This window comes from Homo sapiens, chromosome 22, assembly GCF_000001405.40.
Source record: "Homo sapiens chromosome 22, GRCh38.p14 Primary Assembly".
Taxonomy (NCBI): domain Eukaryota; kingdom Metazoa; phylum Chordata; class Mammalia; order Primates; family Hominidae; genus Homo; species Homo sapiens.
This window is the reverse complement of record NC_000022.11, coordinates 23,419,824-23,433,373: the sequence shown is the minus strand read 5'-3', so window position 1 is coordinate 23,433,373 and position 13,550 is coordinate 23,419,824. Positions and strand designations below refer to the sequence as shown.

The following is a 13,550-nucleotide window of genomic DNA, read 5'->3' as shown; positions in this document are numbered from 1 at the left end:
GGGAGAGGAAAGGCGGCAAGGTTCCCAGCAAAAGAGAAGACGCCACTCCGAGAACCCCGGGAGGTATAAGGGAACCCTGTTTAGTAACGCTGCATGTGCAACAGATAACACGTAGTTCACGTGCACAGATGTGTGCAAACATCTATGATGTAACCGAGCGGGGCTGTGCAGAGCAACTGTTACAGTCTGAACTGTGTCCCCCAAATTTAGATACTAACCTAATCCCCATGTGACTGTATTTGGAAATAGGACCTTTAAGGAGGGAAGTCAAGTCTGATGAAGGTCATAAGGGTGGGTCCTGATCCAGCAGGGGCACCAGAGCTCTCCAAGTGCACAGGAGAAAGGCCACACAGGAATACAAGGGGCGGCCGTCCACAAGCCGGGAGGAGAGTCCTCCCCAGGGGCCAACTCCGGTGACCCTTGATCTCAGATTTCAGCCTCCAGAACTGTGTGAGACACACATCTGCGGTCTCAGCCCCCGCTGTGGGGCTCTGTGACGGCAGCCCCAGCCAGACCAGCAGAGTGGTGGACACGGCCAGGTCTTATTTTGGTGAACTAGCCCCTTGGCTCCACAGATCTCTGTAACGTGCTTATGTGGGAGGATGGTAGGGGCACGGCAGCCCCACCTAGGAAGCAAGGTCTCCACAACCATGGGTCATGTTAAACCAGCTCCTTCTCTGGAGGCTAAGGGCCTCACGTGGTCAACTGCAGCCCAAGGTCCTGAGCCCCCTGTCTGGTCCAACACCAGGTGCTTTGTCTCTCTTCTCCTTCGCACAGGTGGTCACCCTGCTGGACGCTGCCCCTTTCCCCACTGTCCTCACCCACCGAGACCAGGTCCTACCACAATAAAAGGACTCTGGTTAGGGCTTTATGGAGTCACCAGCCTTTCAGAGACACATGCTACAATACTTGAATGATTGCAGCTAAATTGATTACGATACCTTGGATTTGCTTCAGAATAATCCAGGAAGGGGGAAGAGGGTGGGATGGGCTCACAGGGACTTCTCGATGCTGTTTTCCATATTTTTATATATATGCTTAAAACTTTCCATGGCAAAAAGTGAAAATAAACACAAACAGAAACCAAACCAAAAGCTAAAAGATGACAACTCATCCTAACCAGGCCAGGGTGACCTCCTCTCAAAACCCAGGCTCTGGAAGGACATCTCGCTCTTACCCCCAGAAGGTGACATCCTTGGCCCCAGAGCCCCTGCCAGGGCTGCCCGGTCTTTACCCCTCTGCCCAAGGCCACACGCACAGGATGTCAACAGTATTTGTAGAATTAGCGAGGCAGCATGGGAAGGTGCGGTTCCATCTCCAGGCCCCCCGCCCTGGTCCTCCTCCCACTGGGTCTTAACTCCCCGAGGGGCCACAACGCTTCAATGCGTGAGGTGCCGTGTGCCTCTCCACCCAGGAAAGTGTGCACAAGCACACTCCGTGCTGCCTATAATTCTGGGAACGACAGGGGTCTATGAAGCCCACCCAAGTTCCTGGAATACAGACCCCTGCCCTGAGCTCGCAGCGGAACCCCCATGCTGCTGCTCCTCCTCACATGTGGATCTGGGACGTCATGCTGGGCAACTGAGACCAGGTCTGCCTTCATGTTGTAAACAACTAGAAAAATGAACAAAATACACACAGTAACTGTTCACAGACACTGGGCTGTCTAAAGACAGAGAAACAAATGAAGTGAACCTCTGAACACCCCTTGCTCTACCCAGTGGTCTCTTCCAGGCTTGGCGCCGTGGGGTACAGCTCAAGCTCAGCATGATGGTCCTGCTGAGAGGAAGGGAGGATCTGTGGAGGGCGGAGCTGTGCACAGAAGGCTTCTGGCAACCTGGAGAAAGGTCTCGCTGAGCTGCTGAGTAATACACTCTACGCACACAGCATGCAACTCCACAAGGCTGAACCAAGCACATCGGGGAGCTGTCAGGGAACAACTCCAGAGGTCACGCAGGACCGGGGACAGGCACATGCCGACCAGCCAGAGCAAGTGTTCTTGCTGAGCACCCAGGTCATCTGCTAGGAACCTCAGAAGGGTCATGTCTTAGTAGCAGAGTTAAACTAGCCCTGGAATAAAAGCAAATCCATACAAGCCCCAAGAGAGTGTGAAAACAGTTCTTGAAAGGATCAAGCTGACCCCAAAATAACTTAACTGCTTGCCAGAAAAAGCCCAATACTCTTCAAAGAAAGAACAAGGAAATTTGCACCCTTTCATACACTTAACATAAAATTAACAATTACCATCATACAATCAAAAATTACTAAGCATGCAAAAAAAGGAAAATGTGTTCTATAGCTAGGAGAAAACTCAGCCAATAGAAATAAGTCCAGAAATGATGAAATCAGCAGACAAGGATTTTAAAACAGCAATTATAAATATGCTGCAGAATTTACAGGAAAACCTGAACACAGTGAAGGGGATGGCTGCTAGCTCCCAGGATGGCCCTGAGCGACCCTGCTTCCTGGCAGTCACACCCTGGTGCTGTCTCCTCCCACATCATACCAAGGTTGGCCTACATGATCAATTGAAAACGGCAGAGCCAGGCATGGTGGTGTGCACCTGTAGTCCCAGCTACTCAGGAGGCTGAGACGGGAGGATCACGAGCCCAGGAGTTCAAAGTTGCAGTGAGCTATAACAGTGCTGCTGCACTCCAGCCTGGGTGACAGAGCAAGACTCTGTCTCAAAAAAAAAAAAAAAAAAAAAAAAAAAAGGCAGATGTGATAGTAGATCAACTCCAAGATTATGTTATAAAATACACTGTAGCTTCCATCTTGGGCTGGCTCTGTCTGTCTCTTCCTAACTCATTCAACACTCACTCTGCGTTGAACGCTGCCATGTTGTGAGGACACTCAAGCAGACCTATGGAGAGGTCCATATGGAGAGAAAGTGAAGTCTCCTGCCAAGGGCCACCTAAATGAATTTGGGCACATCATCTGGCCCCTGTCAAGCCTTCAGCTTTGCAACCCAGGACAAAAGCCCCTAACTGCACCCTCTGACGAGAATCTGGGCCAAAACCATCCAGCTAAACTGCTCTGGGTTCCTGAATTTCAAAAACTTCACGAGACAACAAATGCCTGCTGTTTTAGGTGCTAACTTCTGGAGAAAGTTGTTACGTAGCAACAGACTACAAAAATGAAGGAGAAACCAAAGATATGAAAAAAATAACCAAATAGACCTTTTAGGCATGAAAAACAAATGAAATTTTAAAACTCCACTGAATGAAATCAAGGGCAGGTTAGATACTCCAGGATAAAAGGTCAGTGAACTTAAAGACAGGAACAGAAACTATCCAAATTAAAGCACAGAAAAAAGATTGAGAACCAAAAAACAAAAAGTACAAAGCTTCAGTAATTAGGATAATATTAGTGACTTAAAATATGTAAAACTGGAGTACTGGAAAAAGGGGAGGGGAACAGAAAAAATACTTAAAGAAACAATGGCCAAAATTTCCCAAATCTGACTAACTATAAATCCATAAATCCAAGGAGCTCAATGAACCATAAGCAGGATAAATACAAAGAAAATCAGCTGGGGGTGGGGTGTATATTATATACAAAGTACAAAGATAAGACTACTAGCAGACTTCTTGTCAGAACCCATGCAAGCCAGAAAACAACAAAACAAACGTTCTTAAGATGCTTAAAAAAAATGACTGTCGACACAGAATTCTATATCCAGTGAAAATATCCTTTAAAGATGAAGATGAAATAAAGACATTTTGAGACAAAGAAAAGCCGAGAAAATTTGTTAGTGGCAGGACAACAATATAAGAAATGTTAAGGAAGTGCTTCCTGCAAAAGAAAAAAAAAAGCCAGATGGAAATCTGGATCAACACAAAGGAAGGAACACTACTGCCAGAAGCAGTAAATACGTGAATACAGTTCATGTATTTAAATACGTGAATACACTTCAACAAGCATTTTTGAATCATTTTAATTTAGAAGATAATGTACTCTCTAAAGTGAAAACATAATTTCACAAAAAAAATTTTGTGCAAAAATTACATAAAAAGAAAAAATGGAAAAATACTTTTAAAATGCTCTATGTTAACTAGTGTAAGATTATTTGAAAATAGACTGACATAGAGCTGGGGTCATCAAACTCCAGCCCATGGGCCAATTCTGGCCCACCGCCCGCTTTTGTAATAAAGTTTTACTGGCACACATCTGAGCTCATTATGTAACAGTTCCTTCTGTGCTACAACAGCAGAGGTGTGACACAGACAGTATGGCTCCCAAAGCCTAAAATATTTGATACCTGTTTCTTTACAGGAAAGGTTTACTGACCCTTGCCCTAGAGCAATAACTAAACCAAAACAGAAGAAAACCAAAGAGGTATAATTAATAAGCCAATGTTGGAGAAAACATGGAATACCAAAAAACAGCCCAAAAGAGGCAAGAAAAATGAAAAAAAGAATATACGAGACAAAAAGAAAACAAATGACAAGATGGCAGATTTAAACTCAATGTCATAAAAATTATATTAAATATAAATGGCATAGATTATCAGTCTGAATAAAAAAGCAAGATTCAATTAGATGTTATCTTCAAAAAATCCATTTAAAATATACAGACACAGGTAGATTAAAAGATTAGAAATATAGATACGTATATATAAATATTAAAATTGTAAGAAAGCAGGAGTGGCTATATTAATATTACTCAAGTCAGACTTCAGAACAAGAATATTTAAGAGATGAAGACAGACATTGCATAATTATAATTACAATTGCAAGTGATCAAGAAGATATAACAATCTTAACTGCATATGTACCCCAAAATAGGGATTAAAAATATAGGAAGCAAAACCTGACAGATCTGAAAGGAGAGAGATAAAAAAATTGATAAAACTTAGAGTGATGAAGAAAAAAGCGGGGAAGATGGGGCTGTCTTCCCCATCAAACCCTGCACCACAAGCGGCCCCAGGATCCAGCTCCTTAACAACAAACCCTGCACCACAAATGGCCCCAGGAACCAGCTCCTTAACAACTAAAAATACAAATATTAGCTGGGCATGGTGGTGGGCTCCTGTAATCCCAGCTACTTGAGGCAGGAGAATCACTTGAACCCAGGAGACGGAGGTTGCAGTGAGTTGAGATTGTGCCACTGCACTCCAGCCTGGGCGACAGAGCGAGACAACATCTCAAAAAAAAAAAAAAAAGAAAAAAAAAGCTGAATTCATAGAAGTAGAAGGTAGAAGAATGATGGTTACCAGAGCTGGCAAGGTGGTAGAACAAGGGAATGGAGACTTCGTCTTCAAAAGGTACAAAGTTTCAGCCAAGCAGGAGAAAAAAGTTTTGAGGTCTATTGCACAGCAGGAGACTGTAGTCAATAATAACGAATATTTCAAAATAAGAGGAAATTTGGTGTATCACCATAAAAGAATGCCAAATAAGTGAGGTAACAGGTATGTTCATTAGCTTGACTTAATCACTCCATATTGTATTGTTAAGTTAAATTTGGTCTAAAACTGCCTCCACGATTCATATTAGCGCCAAACTGAAAAGTCCAGCCACAGAAGAGTAGATGAGCAAATTATGGTACATTTGTACAAGGGAATACTATTCCGCAGTAGAAAACAATGCAGCAACACCAACGAATCTCAAAAACATTAGCTACAAAAGAGTACATACTGCATGACTCCCTCTATATGAAATTCTGGAAAAGGCAAAACTAGCCTACAGTGACAGAGGGCAGATCAGGGGTTTCCTGGGGGTGGGTGGGGGAACTGCCAGCAAAGGGCTACAGGGATTTAAGTTTATGGAGATGTTTTGTATCACGATTGTAGAAGTGGTCATGCGGGTGCACACATTTCTGAAAATTCATCCAGTTGGACACTTAAAATGGGCATATTTTCTTGAATGTAAATTTTTCTCCATAAAGTTGATTTTATTTATTTATTTATTTATTTTTGAGATGGAGTCTCACTCTGTCACCCAGGCTGGAGTGCAGTGGTGCAATCTCAGCTCACTGCAACCTCTGCCTCCTGGGTTCAAGTGATTCTCCTGCCTCAGCCTCCCAAGTAGCTGGGACTATAGGTGCCCGCCACCACGCCTGGCTGTTCTTGTATTTTTGGTAGAGACAGGGTTTCACCATGTTGGTCAGGCTGGTCTCGAACTCCTGACCTCAGGTGATCCGCCCACCTTGGCCTTCCAAAGTGCTGAGATTATAGGCATGAGCCACTGCACCCGGCCCAGGTTTTCCTTCTTAAATTTCACTTCACTGATACCTTTAGGGGAAAAAAATCCACACATCTTTTTCTTTCTTTCTTTCTTTTTTTTGGAAGTGGAAGGACTTAAAGATACAATATCATTGTGCTTTTCTGATAACTAGATAGTGGATGATAGTTAACATTTATTGAGTGTTTATCTGCAGGAATCTGTGCTAGGTGCTGCATAGACATTACCTCATTTATTCCTCACAATAACACTCAAGGTAGAACTTATTATCCCCAGTTTTACAGATGACAAGGTTTTGTGAGGTCCTAGGTCAAGGGAGTGATAGTGACTGACAAAGCCTTAACTGAAAGCAGGGCTGGGCTCAATCCTGGGCTTTCTGATTCCAGAGTGTGTGCTCCTCCTAACCTGTGTGCTAACAGGCCTTAGGGATGACTAATGGGCAGGCCTGAGAGCCCCGATGCCTGCTGCTGCCACCACCCCAGGTCTGATGGGAGGTGGGGGTTGGACGGGCTTTATGTTCTATTGCAGTACAGTTTTCACACCCTGGTCTTTTCCTTTGCTAGAAGCATTTGTCTAGCCAGGTGGAGGGTCATTACTTTAGAAAAAATAATCAGAGCTGAGAAAACATCTGCATTTGCAGAGAATGAAGTATTTAATAAGACCAGATGGGCCGGGTGCAGTGGCTCATGCCTGTAATCCCAACACTTTGGGAGGTTGAGGTGGGCAGATTGCTTGAGCCCAGTAGTTTGAGAGCAGCCTGGGCAACATAGCTAAACCCCATCTCTACAAAAAGTACAAAAATTAGCTGGGTGTGGTGGTGTGCACCTGTGGTCCCAGCCACTCTGGAGGCTGAGGTGGGAGGATTGCCTGAGCTCAGGAGGCCAAGGTTGCAGTGAGCTGAGATCACACCACTGCACTTCAGCACTCCAGCCTGGGTGACAGAGCAAGACTCTGTCTCAAAAAAAAAAAAAAAAAGACTAGATGGGGAGATGAGGGACAGAGAGAATCAAAGAGAATCAAAGTGGTTTGTGGACAGAGGAAATGAGTGATACTCTGACCCAGAGGCCATCTTTAGTGTCCAGGCCATTTGCTTGAGCTGCTGGTGAAACTGTGAAACTGGAGGCATGGCACTTGGGCTAAAGTCTGTGCGGTGAATAAGGCCCTCAGTTTCTGCTTTAGGTGGCAGAGTTGAAGGTAAATAAGGCCCTCAGTTTCTGCTTTAGGTGGCAGAGTTGAAGGTAAATAAGGCCCTCAGTTTCTGCTTTAGGTGGCAGAGTTGAAGGTAAATAAGGCCCTCAGTTTCTGCTTTAGGTGGCAGAGTTGAAGGTGAATAAGGCCCTCAGTTTCTGCTTTAGGTGGCAGAGCTGAAAATCTGATTCCTTTTTGGTCTTTAGCTTCCAGTGTACTTCAATGCAGTACATTGTGGGCGTGGTGGGGATGTGGTTCAGAAATTTACCTAAACTCTGTGGACTTCCCCCTCTCTCCAGCCACGCACTCTGTCATCTTTGGTTCCACTCTTCAGAATTCAGCTCGGATCCCCTGGAGTTGGGGGGGTGATGGGTGGTGTCAGATACCCAAGTGGTTGGGTTGCTCCGGTGGAGAGAACAGCATCCTGCCCCCATGGGCCTCAGTTGTTTTCTTGCGGGTGGCCTTTAGCCATCTCTAGCTATAAAGACACCAAGAAACTGGGAGGAATGACCAGGAAACTGTCACCCCAAACCCTGCAGTTGATTACTTTTGTTTTGTTTTGTTTTGTTTTGTGACAGCATCTCACTCTGCCACCTAGGCTGGAGTGCAGTGGCGTGATCATGGTTCACTGCAACCTTGACCGCCTGAGTAGCTGAGACTACAGGCGTGCACCACCAAGCCTGGCTAATTTTTTACATTTTTTGTAGAGATGGAGTTTTGCCACATTGCCTAGGCTGGTCTTGAGCTCCTGGGCTCAAACAATTTGCCCGCCTCAGCCTCTCAAACTGCTGAGATTACAGGTGTGAGCCACCATGCCTGGCCCCATTGACTTTTTCTCATTGGCGAGTTCAACAGAGGAGAGATGGTTGCCACAGTTTTAAAAAAGAGGCCAGGTGTGGTGGCTCACGCCTGTAATCCCAGCACTTTGAGAGGCTGAGGCGGGCAGATCACCTGAGGTCAGGAGTTCCAGACTAGCCTGGCCAACATGGTGAAACCCTGTCTCTACAGAAAAATACAAAAATTAGCCGGGTGTGGGTGTTGCACATCTGTAGTCCCAGCTACTCAGGAGGATGAGGTAGGTGGATCATTTGAGCCTGGGAGGCCAAGGCTGCAGTGAGTGGAGATTGCACCACTGCATTCCAGCCTTGGTAACAGAGCAAGACCTTACTGTCTCAACAAAAAAAAAAAGTAAAAGAAAAGGCTGGGTGTAATGGCTCATGTCTGTAATCCCAGCACTTTGAGAGGCTAAGGTAGGAGTATTGCTTGAGGCCAGGTGAGACCAGCCTGGGCAACATAGTGAGACCCTGTCTCTACAAAAATTTTAAAAATTAGCCGGGCATGGTGGTATACACTCATAGTCCCAGCTGCTCAGAAGGCTGAGGCGGGGGGATCACTTGAGGCCAGGAGTTTGAGGCTGCAGTGAGCTATAATCATGCCGCTGCATTCCAGCCTGGGTGACAGAGTGAGATCCTGTCTCTTAAAAGAAAAAAGAAAGGGAAGACAGAAATCAGATTAAAGAAGAGAGAAGAAGTGAGACTGTTGGCTTATAACTTGATGAAAGGTGGAAGCGGAAGGGCAAGAGCTTCTGCTAAGTAGTGAGGACCTTGGCAAGGACAACAGTATCTTTTTCGTGTTCTGTTAGGCCGTGTCTCTCTAGCGCCCAGCTCAGAGTGCACGTGTGTTATGTGTGAGGGAATCTAGTGAGGAGTCTTCCTGCATTAGGCACATCTGCAGGTGTCTGTTGAATTGTATATCTGCTGAATAATTTAGTCTGGTTAACTCTGGCAGGAGATTCGCTCTGGTTAACTCTGGCAGGAGAGGGATGGACAGCACAGCCACGTGGTTAACTAGTAGCTTTTATTGACTTTTCCTATTTAAAGGCGAAATGAAACCTTAGTCCCAGCCTTCTCCTCTCTCCTGCCCATTCTTCTTTATTTATTTATTTATTTATTTTTGGAGACAGTGTCTTGCTCTGTGGCCTCCCGGCTAGAGTGGCATGATCTCGGCTCACTGCAACCTTGACCTCCCGGGCCCAGGCCATCTCCCCAACCTCAGCCACCTGAGTAGCTGAGACTACAGGCCCACACCACCACACCTGACTAATTTTTAAATTTTGTGTAGAGACAAACTCTCTCTGTGTTGCCCAGTCTGGTCTTGAACTGCTGGGCTCAAGTGATTCTCCAGCCTTAGCCTCCCAAAGTGCTGGGATTACAGGCAGCCCACTGCACCCAGCCCCCTGTCTTTTTTCTGTTGCCAATTGAAGTCTGGAGGTGGCATGGGTCCTGGGAAGCCAGTGCCAGTGTTGGAAGCTTGGGAAGAGAGGAGGAGCAGCTTGGTCAGGGGGAAGATGCAGAGTGCTCACTCCTGGCACCTGCAGCTCCCGGGGGTATGGCAGCTACCCTTTAGCGTGGACTGTCCCCAGCCTACAGAAAGTCAGCTTACAAAGGTTCTAGCCATATTCCTCCCTGCCTCCACTGCCAAAGCTCCTTGTGGCTGAGAATTGTCGGGCTGTGGTGGGACAGGGACAGGTGGGAGAGCAGCACCTGGCGCTGATGAGCACAGCAGTGATGGCAGCAGCAGAGACGCTTAGAGACCGTTGGCCATGCCACGCTCTGTCCTGAGTGCCCACGTGTCTTAACGCGCTGAGTCCTCACCACAGCGGACAGACTGGGTGCTGTTATGATCCCTGCTTTTCACACTAGGAAGTGGGGCACAGAGGGCTAAAACAAGTGGTGGCGTCAGGATTTAGATGAAGGCATTGGGTTTTGGACTTGTGGTGTCACAGACCAGTTGAGGGCAACTGACTTGGGCATATTCCACGGGGTTACCTCCGTCCTGGGGGGTCACCGCTTCCTGTCTTCAGACCCCTCCTCCATATTTCCCTCTCTTCACTCTTGAGTTCTCTCTCTGAAGTGCCAGGAGAGGTGCATTGAGGTTAATTGGCGTATTCATTGAAATATTCCTGGCCTGTTTCTCAGGGGGCAGAGTCAGGAGGTAGTTCTAAAGCACTGGGAGGAGGGTGTGGGCGCAGGGGGGCTTCCCGGGGGGCACTTAAGACACTGTGTGTTCAGGAACCTGGGGGCTGTGCCTTGGGAATCCAGAGAGTGCTGAGGGCAGCCCTGTTCCTGGGAAAGGTGAGGAAGTCCTTCCCTTCCTTCTGATTCCCAAGTTGTGGAACCCAAGCAGATCCATTATTGCGCCAGCTAAACTCCTTTATGGGTGATTCTTTTAAGAGAATGAGCTGGGCCAGGGGTGGAGGAAGGCAAGTGGAGGGAGAGCATTAGGACAAATACCTAATGCATGTGGGGCTTCAAACCTAGATGACAGGTTGACAGGTGCAGCAAACCACCATGGCACACGTATACCTATGTAACAAACCTGCACGTTCTGCACATGTATCCTGGAACTTAAAGTAAAATTTTAAAAAAAGAGAACGAGCCATCTGGGAATCCTAATCGCTGTGTGTAATTGGCACATGAACTTATGGAACAGAACCTTTTTCCCAGTTTGGCCATGACTAGTCAGTCATCCATTTCCCTGAGAAAAAGGAAAAAGGAAATATTTTAACTAGTGACATGGGCTTGGGTCAGTTTCTTTCCAAAACAGATAGGCTTTCTCAAAACCACCCTTGCCAGGGGTAGGAAAAACAAATAAACTTTCTGCTTTTGGTATTCTAAGTTCCTTTAGACAGTGGGGCCTGTGGAAAATTATATAAGCAAGTCATAACAGCGATCACTTCCCCTTACTGTGGCCAGACTGCGCACACATCATTTCTAGTCTTCAGGTAGGGTCCTTTCACCCCATTTTACAGCAGGGAAGTTGTTCCAGTGAGGTAAAGGGCCATAAACCCAATAATTTGCATAGCTAATGACTCCAAATCCCATGAGATTACATGTTCAGGGAGCAAAAGGAAGAGGAGTGGGGCAGAAAAAGACAGTATGAGGCAGGGAAGAAATTCACAGGTGGCAGCTTGAATGGGCCCTCCAGGTGTAGTGAGCACCGTGCTAGGCCCTAGCGTAGTAGGGTGGGGACACAAACAAGCCCCTGAGCCTCAACCACCCTCAGGGAGCAGGGGGGATTCCTACTTCAGGAATCCTTTACACACTGACTTTTTTCAGCACATTTATTGAGCACCTGTTGTATATCAGTGCCACGCGGTAAGACAGCCTGCGTCTGCAAGAGGTTGATATTTCTAAGAGGTTGGATGCATTGTCAGCCATGCAAGTGCAGTAACCTGGATTTAACTGGCCAGGAAGCCCTGGACATTGAGTGCTAAGCAAATTTATGCTAACTAGTAAAATATTCTTCTTGATTTGGTTTTGTTTATTTCTTGCACCTAAGACTGAGAATTTCTAGAACTTACCTACCCGCTGTGTCTGCTGTTTGTGGAATGTTTGTGTTTTGCAAACAGGATCATTTTGCAACTCCTTCCTGAGGACCAGCCCTGCACTTTGGCTGCAGGAAAGGCTGGGACCATTTCCCTTGCCTGCAGGCTGCCCTTGGGCCCGTCACCACTTTGGACCTGGTGCTCTCAATGTGCTTGTCCTTGCCCAGCTACTCATCGAGAGATACAGCTGCCCCCGGTGGACTGGGCAGCCCTTCCTAGAGGAGGGTTTTGCAGTCTGTGCCCTTTCCTAGGTGCTCTAGCAACGGTGGATGGGAGCAGTCCTGTGCATGGAGGCGCCTCATCCATGATTTGGGCATTAGATTGTCCATGCTGCTTCTGGGGCTCCTTTCTAACCGTAGGACCACGGTGCTGTGTCTACCACGGCCTCGGAGCTGGTTGGAGCCTTGTAATAATGTCATCAGCCAGCACGGTAGCAAGCCCCCCATTCCTCCATCTTCCTGAAGTATTTCTTTGTCATGTGCTGTATTTGGAAGCTGATGTATTGTGGGAAAAGGCCTAATAGGACTTCTTACTACTGGATATGATGAGTGAGATACCGTTTTGCTTGGGTTTTAACCTTTTATTTTCTAAGACCTTTGGATCCGTTTGATCAGGTCCATTCAAATAGAAATTACTTACATCTTCTAGAAATGAGTTAAACACCTGGCTTCTGCTCCCTGCTATATTAATGGAGCTGACTTGCTAACTTGAAGAACACTTTTTTTTTTTTTTTTTTTGAGACGGTGTCTCGCTCTGTCGCCCAGGCTGGAGTCCAGTGGCTAGATCTCGGCTCACTGCAACCTCCACCTGCCAGGTTCAAGCAATTCTTCTGCCTCAGCCTCCCAAGTACCTGGGACTACAGGCACGCACCACCATGCCCGGCTAATTTTTTGTATTTTCAGTAGAGACGGGGTTTCACTGTGTTGGCCAGGCTGGCCTCGAACTCCTGACCTTGTGATCTGCCCACCTCAACCTCCCAAAGTGCTGGGATTACAGGTGTGAGCCACTGCACCTGGCCCCGAAGGACACTTTTACATGCTGCTAGTGACAGGTTCCCTCTGTGCATGACCACCAGCCCAGGGGAAGGGTTCATGGCTTAAAGGTATCTCTTACCCTTCAAGCAAACTTGATGTATGGAAATGTGGATTTACCTTCAAGATAAACTAGTGTGTATCTGTACTTCTTGGCTTGAAATTAAATTCTTCACAGTAAAGGAATTTTGCAACAGAATTCCTTCTATAGGAATTTAAACAGTTACCTTGCTATAGACAACATTTTAGGCAGTCTGATATCCCACCATTGGTGGGAATGACTGCCTGTCACATTAACCTGCCTGCCCCTCTTTGTCCCCCTACAGCACTTATACTCATGCGGGCTCAGAGGCACAGGTGCTCCTGGCTCTGCCTACAGCCTCCTAGGCCTGTCATCTGGGCCTGTTGGTGCAGTACATGGATCTAGGTGCTGTCACGGACTGTCAGTTGTGGCGTGTCCTGGCAGGGCCTGGCTGGCCCGACCTCTGCTCATGCAGTATTCATCTGCACACCAGGAGCCGTCTGGGCCATCTCTGGTGTGCTGCCCCACTCAGTTCTGTGTGCAGTTGCTTTCCTTTCTTGCTTGTCTCCAGGCCATTTTTGTAAGTTTTTATGAGGTCCAAATGCTTAGGCATAGGCAGTAGGCAGGAAAATCCAGCAGGGCATGTAGATCATTCCTAGTAGTAAAAGAGGTCAAGGGGTTTGGCTAAAAACCTCACTTATATTGGGATATGGGAAAAGTGGGAGGGAACTGATTTCTCA

At 46.7% G+C, this 13,550-nt stretch overlaps 1 annotated feature.

Moving 5' to 3' along the window:
• Positions 1,289–2,134: an enhancer, noted in NCBI's record as "NANOG-H3K4me1 hESC enhancer chr22:23773427-23774272 (GRCh37/hg19 assembly coordinates)". NCBI's record gives its function as "activates a minimal SCP1, AML or CMV promoter by ChIP-STARR-seq in naive H9 embryonic stem cells {active_cell/tissue: H9 hESC(naive)}" and the evidence as "EXISTENCE:reporter gene assay evidence [ECO:0000049][PMID:30033119]".